The 15,586-nt window shown below is 37.2% G+C and overlaps 1 protein-coding gene across 11 annotated transcripts in view; it reads left to right on the top strand.

The window, feature by feature from the left end:
• The window catches only part of CHD7 (chromodomain helicase DNA binding protein 7), a 189,289-nt gene that overhangs the window by 117,852 nt on the left and 55,851 nt on the right, over positions 1 to 15,586 (top strand). For 10 of the 11 annotated variants that reach the window (XM_011517553.3, XM_047421945.1, XM_011517555.3 and 7 more), the window contains exons 5-7: positions 3,797 to 3,934; positions 4,937 to 5,002; positions 11,626 to 11,681. The exons of the other annotated variant lie outside the window; for it this stretch is intronic. In XM_011517553.3, the coding sequence (XP_011515855.1) occupies positions 3,797 to 3,934; positions 4,937 to 5,002; positions 11,626 to 11,681 (260 nt within the window). The remainder of the gene's footprint in view (positions 1 to 3,796; positions 3,935 to 4,936; positions 5,003 to 11,625; positions 11,682 to 15,586) is intronic. 11 annotated transcript variants of the gene reach the window in all.

A 15,586-nucleotide genomic window follows, 5' to 3' on the forward strand; every position in this document is an offset into this window, starting at 1 on the left:
GACCTTATGAAATACTAGCTTTAGGGTTTTTTTTTTTTTTCCTGCTGCATTTCAAACATAGAAAACTGCTAATCAATTCAAGTGAACATTGATGTATCCTTTCTAATTGGCTAGGGCCTAACTGTTACGTGTTCAATAGCTAATATAAGCAACCACACAAGATCTGACTTTGAAAGCTGTGTTTTCTTGGTATGTCTGACACAGGAAGTGATGCTGACTGGTTGTTTATTATGTTTCTTCCTGTAACACATGCATGAAGGGCTTAGCATTAAAATTCTTGAGTTTTGTGATTGATTTACTAAGGTACATGTCATATAATTTTAACTAACTCAAAATTGTGTCACAAGGTACTGCAACAGTGAGATCATGGAAACATTTAAATGTTCTATTTGTTATACCTGTTTTAAGTATCTTTTCTAAAGCAATCCAAGTTTAAAAAGTTGATATATTATTTTAGTGTCAATTCAAAAGTTTTGAATTATGGTTTAAAGGCAGTTCTTACATTTCATTTTGACTCACAAAAATCTTTCAGATAATAATAGTTTACCAGATCACAATAGAAACATGTTATGTATTAAATAATTTAATTTTACATTGGGGAATTGTAAAAGGAACCTTGATACTCAAAATAAATGTAAGATCAATTATTATTTTAAAACTAGAGAAGCCACGTAACATTAAAAATTTTTATCAAATTGAGTTATAATTGTATTTTGGGGTGTTTTTACATAGGAAGTGACCTCGTATCCACTGCTAACTAACCCCATCACTATTGCACAGATTTATATCACAAAGTTGATATCAGGAGGAACTTACATTTTAAAAGTTATACTTACCAACTCATAAATTTCTATTTAAAAAGAAGAAAGCACACTGTCTTATTGTACTGGATGGAACCCTTCTTTAACATCAGGGTGGGATTTAGCATAAAGTGGATTTGTCTTAGACCCTATCCAGTTACTTATATGGCACAACACTGTGACAGTGGGGTCTTAAGCAGGGAAACCTGATGAAACATGGCAGGTAGATCACTAGGAGCACATTGCTTCTTACTGGAATGGTATAAAGATGGAAATATAAATGAATCCATTTAAATTGAGTTAAATTGACATATCAAATGAAATACAACATGTTATGCTAAATTTTGCAATATTAAAATTGTTCTTGATAATGGCCTTTTATATCTTGAAGAAATTGGTGGTCCAGAAGTGAGGAATGGTAAAGTGGGCATGAGAGCAGGAGTAAGTAGGTCAGCTTTGGAAAGAAAAGGGAAGCTGTACAAGGTAACTGGGCCATTTTTCTTTGGAAAGCTGGAGCTGATTAATGATGACTTTAGTCCTACTAATTACATCTCACATTATGTACCATGTACTGTTCTAAAAGCTTTGAATGAATTCCCTTATGCGATCTTCATGGTATTCATATGAGGTAGTTACTGTCATTAACCCCATTCTACAGACCAGGAGTCCAAGGTCCACAAAATTACTTGTCCAAGGTCACATGATAAGAGTCGGGGCAAGTTCAAACAAGAGCACTTAGCTCTAGGACTTACAAGGTCAAATTGCCACCTGGGATGTGGGAAAGTATTGCAGATGGCAGAATACTCTGCTGGAATCTCTGTTTCCTCCACCTGGGATTGATCTGGGCAGTGCCAAAGCTTTGTCCTGTAGAGGAGGGTCCCAGGAGGAACCTCTGGCCCATGTCACTACTCCCTCCATGTAAGCCACAAGGAAGTCTCTTAATAAACTTTTTCTAGAATGGTCTCACATCAGAAAAGTACTTTGCACCTCTGTGGCCACAGCTGTGTGTGGCTTGGAGCTAACAATATCTAACTATCTATTTGATGGTCATATTATACCGAGTTTGTATCGTGAACTGTCTCAAATCCCTTTTTAAGAGCAGGGAGAACATAAACTTAAGATTAAAATCAATCAGTCCCACTCTTTGGGGAAAAGTACTGGGATTGTGTTCATCCTGACTTGAGAAATGGTAGTGCCTGTCTTGCCTTAGGTGCACACAATGAATGTTTTGCCTCTCTCTGCCTTACTTTCTCAACTTTAACATTCTTGAGACTCTTTAAAAAGTGTTATTTCATAATTCTTAGAAAAAATTTTGTGTCAAAATTTTCCTCAATATTTTTATTTCTTCTTTGTGCTTTGCAAACTCATTCCATAGGTTGTAATATTCTTGAATTCATTAGCAGCTTAAAACTTTACATGTGTCATTTTCAAATTTAGATTTGACATACATATATGAATAAAAAGGTTATTTCTCCTTATTAATTAGCTTCCAAAATGAATTCTTTGACAAAACAGTTAAATAATATAGAATTACTCTGAACAGAGTTCAGAACCTCTTGTTCTGTTCCATTTGCTTCTCTCCCCATCTTTATAGCTATTAATAATCTGTTGTCTGTCTTTTCACATTCCTTATTTAAAGCCATGTACATATACATTCATCTTTTAGCAAATACTCATTGAGGCATAGAGAAGTAAACAAGATATACAGTCTTTTTGTCTTAAGAAGTTAATATATCGATGAACTGCACGTCTAAATAGATACACAACATTTTTTATTTATCTTAAATAGAATCTTAAGCTACTTCTTGTTATGTGGCTTGTTTTTCTTCTTATTTTACAATTAGTCTTGCAGATATTCCCAAACTTCCTGGAAGTGAAAGTAGTGAGTCAAAGGTCTGCATGTTTAAGTTTTGATAGATAGGACCACATTGTCCTGCAAGGACTGTGTGGGTTGCATTTTGACCACAGGATTGTGAGAATACCCAGTTTGCCAGTGATCCTGCTAATACTGGCTATTACCAATCTTTTTAATTTTAACCACTATGGTAAAAACATTATATTTTAAAAAGTAAAATTACTGTCCATAGTCATTCATTATGAATTTTGCCATTTAACCCTTCATCTCTTCAGAAATTTTCAGAGTATTTCTTTTAGGATCAAGATTAAAATACAAAAACCTTTTATTTAAAATGGCCTGAAATATCTGGGGCACCTTGGTTAGTATTATAACAATATTTGTATAGAACTTTGTAATTTACAGATTATTTTCTAAAGCACTGATTTTTTTTGGACTTTTTATATGGGAAAAATGTTAAAATGTACAAAGGTAGAGAGAGTAGTATAATGAACCCCTATAGATTCATTAGCCAGCTCCAGTATTGCTGCCACTTTTGATGGACATACTGACTGACTGAGGAACTAGATTTGTTATTTCCATTTTCCCAGTTGAAGGACATGTAGCTGGGAGTGGCAGGGCTACAGCTGTCCCAGGCGTCTGACTCCAGATTTCCACCCATTTCTATTGTATTTGTTAGCACTGTGATCTTTTCACATCATATATAGGATTAGCATTATCACCTTTTCCTTAAGATTAATTTAAAAAAATTCATCCTTCCACTCTGCGCCATTATAAAGAACATTTTTCTTTTTTTTTTTTTAAGACGCAGTCTTGCTCTGTCGTCCAGACTGCAGTGCAGTGGCGAAATCTCGGCTCACTGCAAGCTCCACCTCGTGGGTTCGCGCCATTCTCCTGCCTCAGCCTCCCAAGTAGCTGGGACTACAGGCACCCGCCACCACGCCCGGCTAATTTTTTTTGTATTTTTAGTAGAGACGGTGTTTCACCATGTTAGCCAGGATGGTCTCGATCTCCTGACCTTGTGATCCGCCCGCCTCGGCCTCCCAAAGTGCTGGGATTACAGGCGTGAGCCACTGCGCTCGGCCACATTTTTCTTTTTAATCATTAATTTCAAGGCCACTGTCTTGGGTTTTTGTTTTAGAAGAGACGGTCCAGCAGACAGGTGAAGAGAAAGCGCTACACTGAAGACCTGGAGTTCAAGATTTCTGATGAGGAGGCAGATGATGCAGATGCTGCTGGGAGGGATTCCCCCTCCAACACCTCCCAGTCAGAACAGCAGGTTAGTACCAGATCTGTGGGATTTATGGATGCATTTTAAAGATGGACTAGAAATTTCATTGCTGCAATCTGAGAAGTGCAGTGGAAGCATTGGACTTTCAGCAGGGGAACATCCACCTAATGTTGGATAATGTGCTATGGGAAATTCGTTGTTTAGCAATATCTTTTAAAAAGCCCTGTTCACTGCAATTTATTTTTATATAAGACTGTGATATGTAATTTGACACAATTTTGGAGAATTAATGTTCTATGCTGAGGAAGAGTCAGAGTTGGAATATAAGGAGGCTGAATATACCTCTGAGAATTCAGTGCTGTGGCTTCTGGGACTTTAATAAACCACTCAAGCTTGTCTCCTGCTGTTAGGCACTGTGAGAACCCCTTTATGAAATTACTGCCTTGTAGTACCCAGCAGGGTGTACTTTATTCTCTGTGCAATGTAAATGATGGATAAAACAGTTTGTATAAAATATGGGTAGTGTAGGATTGATTATTGTAAAGATCTTTTCTAAAAAAATAATGCTTTTTTCTTATTGAAAAGTATATTAAATGCATCTTTGCATTTTATTTGGTAATTTGTTCTATGTTAAGTTGTTACATAATGTTTTATGTGACCTCCATAGATAAAAGATGCCTACTATAGCAGAATGATGAGTATATTTACCCCATGGGTATAGATGAAGAAAAGTTATATTTTTGACTGCTAACGTGCAGAGATTATTTTGTCTTGGTGGCTAGAATTTCTGATTGCTCTCTAGCTTTAGGGACCTAGGCTGGTCCACGTAATTAAACCATATAATCATGAAGTAATATTAAGCACAGATCTCCTTTTTGCCTTTCAGTAGAGTGAGATTTTTGTTCCTTTCAATCGTGTTTCTCACTGATAACTTTGTACCCAGTGACTTAAAAGGTGTGGAGGTGGTAGCAAAGGGGAATGATTTCTTGCTCTTATAGCTTAGGATGAGATGTTTTCTATTTGGATTGATGCACATGCCTTTTTTTTTAGGAATCTGTTGATGCAGAAGGCCCAGTGGTAGAAAAAATTATGAGCAGTCGTTCAGTAAAAAAGCAGGTGAGTGCCATTGGAGCCATTAAAATCTGTGAGGTGTATGTGACTCTTACAGGATTGTTGGCTTTGTAATTTTCTTTTAAAATTCTAATATTATAAAATAAAACTTCCAGTAATATTTCTAATCCTGTCTAATTTATTAACCCAATATGAATCTTTGGGATATTTGACCCCAGATGAAATTAAAATATATCAAGCAGTCAGTGCTTTATTACACCATTCAGAGTGGACTAGAAACTCACAAGTCTCCAAATAAATGTATGGGACTTTCAGAGTTGTAGACTGCCTTTTTCATAAATATTATTCATAAAAATCAAAACATGAATTTACTTCTAATCTCTCTCAGGAAGGTTCCCCCCTCTTTCATGTTAGGATGGAAATTCTGTTTGTCATTTTAGCAAGTAGGTGTTTTCTCATGTGTTTTGTAACATTTTCTCATATACAATTGAATTATTCATTAGTGTCTTTCTTGCCAGTGCAAAGGTGAAATACAGGTCTATTTTCAGTGTAATTTTAAAAAATAGTTTTGACTTAATACTTCAGAGTTATTCAAAGTTTCTGTTCATCTGCAAAGGTGAGCTCTAAGTATCTGTCACTAGCCTGCTAGCTTTGTCACTGAGGTACTCATATGCTCTTTAACAAAAAAATGCCAGTGACATACCGTGTTTTCTTTTCCTGATGAAAATTCCCTGTTTTAGCTAACTCCCTTCTTACAGCCCACTTTGAGAAAATGCTTTGCTTAGTTTGAATAATTACATAAACCTGCAGGTGCATTAGGTATTACAACATGCAGTTTTTCGTGTCTCTAGGAAGTAGTCTCCTTTAGACATAGGTGTCTGTGTCGCAGCTTCAGTCATTATCAATTCCACACAGTTCTTTTGTTTTTATTTGCTTTCAAGAAGGATGGAACTACAAGTTCATGTTTCAGCATGTAAAACAAACTTTAAAAAATAATATATAATAAAGACATGGTCTAGCTGCGAACTCCTGGGCTCAAACATTTCTCCTGCCTTGGGCTCCCAAACTGCTGGGATTACAGGTGTGAGCCATCCTGCCTAAAGTTGTTTATTTTTAGCAAAATGTATACAAAGTATCTCCCAGTAAGAGAGTTGAGGAATGGAGGATTTACAGGACTCAGTGAGAGTCCTATAATAAAGTGAGATCCCAGGCTTATCAAATAGGAAACCATTACTATTCAAATACTGCTATTGAGTGATCCTTGAACATGTTATTGCACCAGCAGTAAACTTCTCTTTACTTTCATTTCATTAGTTTGTTTTGCTATTGTGTGATTCAAGGTATGAATTTTTATCGGAATATACATCTCTAGTTTATAAGAAAATAATTTAGAGCAGTATGTCAAGGTGTTTTCCAGTTGAGTATAGGGGATACGGGGTATGGAGTGACTGGCCATCTTGGTGACTCTTTGAATGTGAAGATTTCCTGATGAATTAAATTTCCCACCTGCTCAAGTAGGAAACAAGCACTATTTAACTCATTAGAAGGTTGCATTTTTGTCCTACTAATGACTCTAGAACTGCTAATTTATGAATTGTAGATATACAGTAAAATTTAAATACTTGACATGCTTTGAAGAACAATCCCCTTCACTGAATTGAAGTGACTTGTTTGAGTAAATAGCATGTCGTTTAGATGGGATATATTAATTTTCATTCAATTGGTAGTGCTTCAGCAGGCATACTCAGCAGGTTTAGGGGTTGCAAATTATAATTAGCTCTATTATTCAGAGCTATTTAGACTATATATTATGTAGAACATTGCTTTTTCTTTCTGTTTTGCCCACTTTAGGGTTTTTGTCTTCTTTTCCTCTTTAGCTACCTTTTAAAAATAGGTACCCATGGTTTAGGAATAGATACTGTTAACCATTTACCGATGACTGGGTTTGTCTTATCATAGGAGATTAAAAATCACTGTACAGGAGGGTGGACATTTGTTGAGTTGATGAATTTGAAGCTGGAGAAAATTAATGGAAAAAATTCTTCTGGAAGGGAGATATGCTTTGAGGTATGATTTAAAATAAAGAAGAGATGTGGAGCTCATGGAATTGCTTGTCAGTTACTGGTATTTCTTAAAGGGCAATAAAAAAATCCATTAGAAGGTACTAAACATTAACAGGTGCTAACTTTTTAAACTGCTAATATTCTCAAAGTAGATACTTTAGTTATCACCTTTAATAACATTGGAAGAAAGTGTTGCAAATAGAAACAAAAGGAAATTTGAGATTTTTTGTGGATTCAATCTATGCCTGCTGGTCTGTTTCTTATTACCATGAATAATTTAATAATTGGCAGTGAGAAGGTGTCTTTATCTCTGCCAGGCAGCACTGTAGAAACTGGCTATGAGCTCTCAGAGCCTGTCCCTGCATGGTGTTGACCCAGAGTGGAGACTCCATGTTTTTCAAAGTCAGTTGACCTCATCACTGTGGCCTGAGAAGCATCATGATCCATTATGATGGAGTTGTGCAAACATAAAACTCACCTGGCAGAGGCACCGTAAGTCAGCACCTCATGTTAAATAGGGGTGGCTCAAGCATTTATGTTGTTCTAAACCCAGGTTAATGTCTATGATACCTAGTTGCATGAAATAGTTGGTGCCTATTTGAATTTTGAGGTAGATATATGAGTAGATACTTGGATTGTATAAAGCCTAATTATTTTGTTTTCCTTGTTTAGTCAGCTTGTAGCTGTTTCTGCTTTGAGCCATTCATCTTTGGAGGATAATTCAAATCCTTTTTTTTTTGTATCAGAAGGCCAAAAGTAGTTTTAAAAGTGAATTGTGACTGTATTCCCTAAAATTCTTTATTTTTCTTTAAGTTAACTACAGGACGTATTTTCAGAGTGTGTGTTTTAAGTATGTAGCTGAGCCTCCTAGAGTGTAAAGAAGGCAAAACTCTTAATCTCATCCATTGTCATGTCCTTATTTTTTCCCTAAGTGAACTGTGATTTGGTGTCTCTAGTAAAGTATACAGTAGATAGGGCCAAAAGTGAAAAGGGATTCATACCCACGCCTTATTGATAACTTTATTGAGGTGCTTTTTCATTCTTTTGTGTATTATTTGACAGAGTGTTCTGTTTTTTTGCTCTGTATTTTAGTTTCTTGACTGTGACTACTTAATTTAGTAGTAGGATGCATAGGAAAGGCCTAAGTTAGGCCTAGACTCTGGGTGGCTATTTAGAATCCAGGTGGCTGGAGAACTCATTTATTGCCTTCTCAAAGTTTCTGGTTTGTTTGAACAGTGGGACAAGTATGGCTTAATATGTTTGAAACTTTAAGTGTCATATGAATAATAAGGATTTCCCTAGACTAATTTTGGATCTAATGAAAAGATATATACATTTCTCAGAAAAATTCTATTTAATTCATAATATTACTGGGTTCTCAAATTTAAAGGTAGCTGCTCAAGAAATAAATCTGAGTGTTGTGTGTATGTATGGGAATAGTTCTTTGACTTAGTTATTCATTGCCTATGCCTGTTGTAGAATGGCTTCTGAAAATAGGGCTTAGAGGTGAGAGGTTTTAGGGTAGGGGCTGTTTGAAGCTGTCAACAGAGGCTGGTCAAACTGCCTCCCATTTAGTAAATAATTGAAATGATGTTTCTGAGGGCTTATGAATTCACACACTTTTGTTCAATTGTTTTACTGTTCAGTAAAAGAAAAGAGGTCAGCATGATCATATTTATATGAAAGGAACGGTGAAAAACAGCTCTATTTATAGTTTTAGGGGCAAGAAGGTGGTGATCCAATATGTGTGGTCCATTAAACAGAACCAAGTGTTGTATTCTGAAACATCCAAAAGATAACAGGCCCTGGGACACTTCTGTACCAGCTCCAGGTGCTGCTAAATGAAGTTTCAGAACCTGGTTGGTTCCTCCTAGGCAGCCCTAGACTCTCTTGTCAGGCATCTTCACAGCAGGTTCCCAGAGGAATAGCTGATCATGACAAGAAAATGGGTAGTAATGAGAGTTGGGGACAGATGGCTGTAAGAGTCAGAGCTTTCTGGGAACAGACTTGAGACAAAATAAAAAGTGTCTTTACTGTTCAAGATTTGATCCTGTATGTGTTGGTGCCCACTTAGAATTATGGGATGATGAGACCATTTAGAATGAGAAGAAAAGGGACAGTATGGGAGAAAAGATCAGACAGAAGAATCAGGAGAAATAATACGAGCATAGACATGATAAATCTTGTTTATGATTTATAACATATATATCAGTTATATAAATGATACATTTGATACATTTGAAGGCATTGAAAATGCCTTCAAAATTGAAAAAATATAATTATTATCAGAAGGGCAAAAGCTCAGACATTTGAGTTCCATTCTTGATTTGAATTTCATGATAATGCTGTGTGAAGAATCAAAGGATCTAGTTTCATCCTTGCTTCTCTTTTTCCCTGATCATCTACCATCTTTTTGTCTTTCTGCTGGAAGTCTGGTTCTATATAAAGATAATATATCTTAAAATGGGAGGCTGGGCGCAGTGGTTCAAGCCTGTAATCCCAGTACTTTGGGAAGCCGAGGTGGGCAGATGATGAGGTCAGGAGATTGAGACCATCCTGTCTAACACGGTGAAACCCCGTCTCTACTAAAAATACAAAAAAAATTAGCCGGGCATGGTGGCGGGGCCTGTAGTCCCAGCTACTCAGGAGGCTGAGACAGGAGAATGGCGTGAACCTGCGAGGCAGAGCTTGCAGTGAGCCGAGATTGCGCCACTGCACTCCAGCCTGGATGACAGAGCAAGACTCCGTCTCAAAAAAAAAGGGAGTAGAATGGGGAAATATTAAGGCTAGAGAGAAAAAGGTAGGGTGGGTCTTGGATGGATGGCCACTTGAACTTGGTAGTATTTATTTATAAATTAATTCCATGTTCCATTTATGTTGCTGGTTCTTGAAGCCATCCAACAAACATTTCTTTTTATTTTGGATAACTAAAAGTTTATGACATAGAAGGTGTTCTGATACATTGGTTTAAAATAGTGCTTTATAGTTATTACGTTTCATAGATCCATTATGGCACAACCAGATATTAATAGATATTGACCACTCCTGCATATCCAGACTCCTTCTTGATGATTTCTAGACAGGCCAAAACTGTTTAAAATATAGGTTTAGCTCGGTGTGGTGGCTCATGCCTGTAATCCCATCACTTTGGGAGGCTGAGACGGGGGGATTGCTTGAGCCTAAGAGTTTGAGACCAGCCTGGGCAACATGGTGTAAAACCCAGCCTACGGAAAATACAGAATTAGCTGAGCATGGTGATGTGTGCCCGTAGTCCCAGCTACTTGGGGAGGTGGTAGGGAGGGGCAGGGGTTGCTGAGGCAGGAGGATTGCTTGAGCCTGGGAGGTTGAGTTTGCAGTGAGCCATGTTTGCACCACTCCACTCAAGCCTGGGTGACAAAGCAAATCCTATCTCAGAAAAGAAAGAAAAAAAATTAGGTTTAACTGTTATAAGTGAGAGTTTCAAAGAAAAGTTTAAGTTCACAATCTTTGAAAATGGTTTGAAGGTTGGAGATTGAGGGGACTAGTACCTTTGAACAGATCTGTGCCAGTCTGTTATCCAGTAGAAGCCTTTGCTCTTTTGTTTGTTCTTTGCCATGTTCCTACTTGCCTTGATTTTCTTCGAAGCATTTCGGAGGTGGCTGAACAGCCATACATGACCCTCAAGGCAGGCTTGGGGTCTCTTGTAAGAGTGTAAAAGCAATCCCCAAACATCTGTAAGTGGTGTTTATATTTTAGATCCCTGATTTATCTGATCAAATGTTCCAGAAGGAAATTACATATTATGACTTGTTTAAGAGCCTAAAACCAAAAGGGGAATAAAAAGAGATGCCTAAAATACCATCTGAACATCATCTTCTGCATACACTACAGCAGATAGGATTAAGGGAGACATTATAGATAATCTTACTACTGAAAACTCTTGATTTGGCTGACATGTATCACAATTTTAACCTTACCTAAATGTAGTATTTGGAGTGTTAATTTTATTTGGCTGCTATGTGTGTGAGACATCTTGTCTGAGAGATTTTAATTGTACCATTGAGTGAAACTAAGACTATGAATAGTGATGCACTGAAATTACAGCATAAGAACAAGGTTTACTTTTATATGGTTTCTTGTTTAGAGTTATTAAGTATATGGAGAAATAAATGTCTTTTAAATATTTTAAAACATTACAAAACCCACAATGTAAAGTTGCCATGAGGCAGCCAAAAATAATACATATGGCATTCAGGAGAGCAGTTGCTAATTGGCTGCTGCCTGAGAAAATGGTACACTTGGCGTCTACTTAACACTGTGGGTTTGGCAGAAGGCCAAATTTGGGGTCAGGTTGTTGTGAATGAAGCTGCATGTGGTTAGGGAGGAGTTAAAGTGATTCATGTCTTAGAAGCTCTCGCACGTTGAGCAGAGGTGCGTGCATGGGCCTGAGCGTGGCAGTCTTCGTGGCCCTGGCCACCTCCCAGCACACGGTGTGCTCATCTTACGTGAAGGTCCTTTGCTGCTCTTTTCAGTCCTATTTTGTGCTCATATGGGAGTAAATCATTACTTTTAAAATATTCTAGTAGATGGTTTTAAATACATGCCTGAAATTTTCTTTTGTTGCAGAAGGAATCTGGAGAGGAGGTAGAAATTGAGGAATTCTATGTGAAATACAAAAACTTGTAAGTAAATTGTGATTCTGTTTTTAATGGGGGGCTATATTTTCCAAGTAGTAAACGACCATTTTTTTTTAAAGTTGGGAAATTAAGAAACTTTGGTATGATTTCTTTAGTCATCATGGCCTGGGAGGCCATTTTTTAACCAACTTTTGTATGTTTGATATTTTATGAATTTTTCTGGAAAATGTGTAATTGGTGTAAAAGTTGACTAACTTCTGTGTATAACCAATAAGTATTTTTTTAGAGAGGATAAAAACTTCTACAATAATAGAAAAATGAATAAAGCAGTATTTCCCTGTCCTCTGATCATGAATTCTACCCTGTGGGGCTACACTTCGTCCCTTCACCTGTGCATAGTGTGCGAGGCCCTAGAGACAAGAACTCTCCTGTGGAATGAAAGCTCTAGAGAACCATGACATCACTCAGGTTCTAAAATGCAGTGAGCTATAGCTTTATCTGTTTTTGTTTGTTTCTGATATTTATTTAGTAGATTTGAATTCATAACTTAAAAATCTGAATTGAAAAACACGGTGAGTTGTTGTCCTTGTAGATTCTGTTGTAAGCAGTACACCTGGCCCAGACAGATATTGTGATGAGCTAGGATGTTTTCAGAGTCAGTAATCATTCTGCTGAAGAAGACTGAGGCCATTTTGTAACCTAAATAACAATCATAGAACAAGGACAAAAATGTTCATTGATAATGTAAACATTAAATTTCTTTTTTACCCCTTTTAAGGCAAAGAACTAAACCACCATATTAATACATTCTTAGGGCTTTAAAGAGAGGCTTTTGTGAGTTGCTGTGCGAACAGCCTCAGAAAATTTACCCCACCCTAGAAAATGAAAGCATCAGGTGCCATGGGTTTTCTGTCATTCTCTCTTGTTGTAGTTGGCACTGTTAATAAATTGATGCACTTCTGAAGAAGTTGTGAGTAAAACCTTTTATCAAGTAAAAAGATAAAGAAGTCTCTATCAGTTTTATCATGAGAGTTCAATGAAATACAGTCTGACAATTTTAAAAATGCTCGGAAAATGTTAACTGTCATCATTCTTTTGTCCTCAGAGCATGTCAGTTTACACATGTGGAAATTATGCCTACAACACGATTTCCTATGGTAAGGAGGAGGTAAACTAAGTAAACCAGAGGGAGAGAGTTCCCTTGTAGATTTACCAAATTGAAACAAGAGCAAAGGAGTTCAAATATCAATCACCAAAATAATGGCACTACCAGAGAGACCTCCAGATCAGTGTGTGACAGTGAGGCCTGAGCTGCCTCCTTCCAGTCAGCCTGTTAGTGACCCCAGAGATGGGCTCCGAGTTCCTGACCAGGTGCCAGTGCCAGACCAGGAGACTCTAGCCCTCCTCAAAAGTCATTTGAGGTGAGGTAAAGGGAGTTTTGAAAAAAAAAAAAAAAAAAAAAAAAAAGAAAAAAAAGGTTTTCTGACTGTCATTATTGAGAGCTAAGAGAAATTAAGATTTCCATAAAACTAAGAGTTTTTGTTAGCCTTATATTTGGATACAATTTCACATTTATAGAAAAATTGTAAAAAATAGTACAAAGAATTTCTGTTTTTCTTTTTGTAGTTAATGTGTATCTTCCGGAAAGATACTTTAAGACTTAAATATGGTTGTGGTTGCTAAGGGGTGATTTACTAATTCCATCATTTCTTCTACATTGATTGGTTGGGTTTTTACCGTAAGGAAGAGCTTTACCCTCTTGTCTATTTGTTAATTTATAGCTGAGCGGACTTGTGGCTTCTCATTTTATTCAAGGGATTATAACTCTTTACTGTTGTAGTATTTACTTTGCCCACATTATCCCAGATTTGGTCAGTGGGAGCCCCTTCAGACTGGCTCTTCTGTCTTTTTGCCTTGTCCCCATTTTTCTTTGAACATTTTCTTGCTTTCTGGCACCAGAGGATGTTCCAGGCTCATCTCGTAACTTCCCTGTTTTAGTTATGGAGTCAGTTACTTCTCCAAGAAGGCTTGGTTGTTTTCAGTGAAGGGGGGGGCATTGAGAAACCAAGATTGGGGCTTTAGGTGTGCTCCTCGTTGCTGAGGAATTGTTGCTTCTAGTCCCTCTCAGTGGATAGGACTGGGAGAGAGAGAGAGTGTGTGTGTGTGTGTGTGTGTGTGTGTGTATCGAGTTACACACACACTTATCTGTTTATTATATACACACACATATTTACCTACCTCTCCAACACAACAGCAAAAACAATGTGTATATATTGATACTTCCAGTATTATTCCAGCAGCCCAGGGTTCATTCTCTCCTTTCCCCTTTAATATTAGTAATTCCCTTCTTCAACCAGAATAAACCTGGCTCTCTTATTTTTTATGTTTGCTTTTTTTCAGTCCTAACATATATAGGAAGTGATTTCAGAGTTACTAGCCCATATTTCTGTGACAAAGAAGCCTATATTTGGTTAGCTTTTTGTCTTTAGTTTGAGGGCATAGGGACTAAAACTTTATCCAAAATGTCCTTGGGTTGGTTATTCTCTTTTCCTACCCCACCAGTGTGGTTTGTTATTTATTTCAGGGGTCCCCAGTCCCCAGGCCATGGATCAGTACTGGTCAGTGTCCTGTTAGGAACCTGGCCGCACAGCAGGAGGTGAGCGGCAGGCGACTGAGCATTACCACCTGAGCTCTGCCTCTTGTCAGATCAGCGTAACATTAGTTTCTCATAGGAACGTGAACTCTGGTTGTGAACTGTGCATGCGAAGGATCTAGGTTTTGTGCTCCTTATGAGAATCTAACTAATGCCTGATCTGAGGTGCAACCGTTTCATTCCAAACTGCCCTCCACCAAGGACCCGCCCCAGTCCGTGGAAAAATTGTCTTCCACGAAACTGGTCCTTGGTGCCAAAAAGGTTGGGGCCTCATGATTTATTTGATACACAGTATGTTTCTTTAGTTTTGGTTTGTATTTGTATTCCCTTTTAGCCCCCGCTTGTTGATTTTTATTGTTTTTCAAGTTTGTGAAATATTAATATGTTACAAAAGTCAGAACTATACACAAAAGAAGTGTAGTCCTCCCTTTCCACCCCATTCCTGCTTACTTCCTTACTAATCCCAGGTTTATCCTTTCTGTAATTTTTGGCATGAGCATGCAGGTATAATTTCCTCTTCGTTCTTACAAAAAAAGAAATTGGTATACTGTTAGTACATTTTTGTGCTTTGCTTTTTTTCACACTACATCCTGGAAATCACTCTACATCTGTTCATAGGGGTCCTCCTCATTCTTTGTTTCAGCTGTATAATATTCCATTGCATGACTGCCGTAACCATTCAACCAGCCTCCTGTGTATGTGGGTGTGTAAGTGGCTTCTGATGTTTTCCAATTACGGATAATGCTACAATATATATTCTCATACATATCTATATATTTTCAAATTATTGGAGGCATGGCTTCCAGGTGAATTCCCGGAAGTGAGTTTACTAGATACAAAAGGCAAACATGTATGTATTTTTAAGAGATATTGCCAAATTCCCTTCCTTCATGTTGTATGAATTTATGTTCCTGTCAACAAAGTATGCAAACACCTGTTTCCCCACAACCTTTCTAATATAGTGTGCTGTTTTACTTTTTAATTTTTGTAAGAAATTGTATTTCAGTTGAGGTTTTAATTAGCATTTTCTCTTATTGTGAATAAGAACACCTTTTCATAAGATTAATGGCCACTTTTTACATCTTGCTTTGTCAGTTGTCTGTGTCTTTTGCTCATTTTCTGTCATGCTCAACTTTTAAGAGCTCTTTATATATAAGGGATATTAGTTCTTTATCTTGGGTTATATGTTGCAACTATCTTATCTCAGTTTCGATTGTCTTTTGACTTCATGGTGTTTATTGCATTGCCCATTAAAATTTTTTGTACGGTCAGATTTATCAATTTTTTCTTTTATTGT

The sequence above is a fragment of the Homo sapiens genome, chromosome 8 (genome assembly GCF_000001405.40).
Source record: "Homo sapiens chromosome 8, GRCh38.p14 Primary Assembly".
NCBI classification, from domain to species: domain Eukaryota; kingdom Metazoa; phylum Chordata; class Mammalia; order Primates; family Hominidae; genus Homo; species Homo sapiens.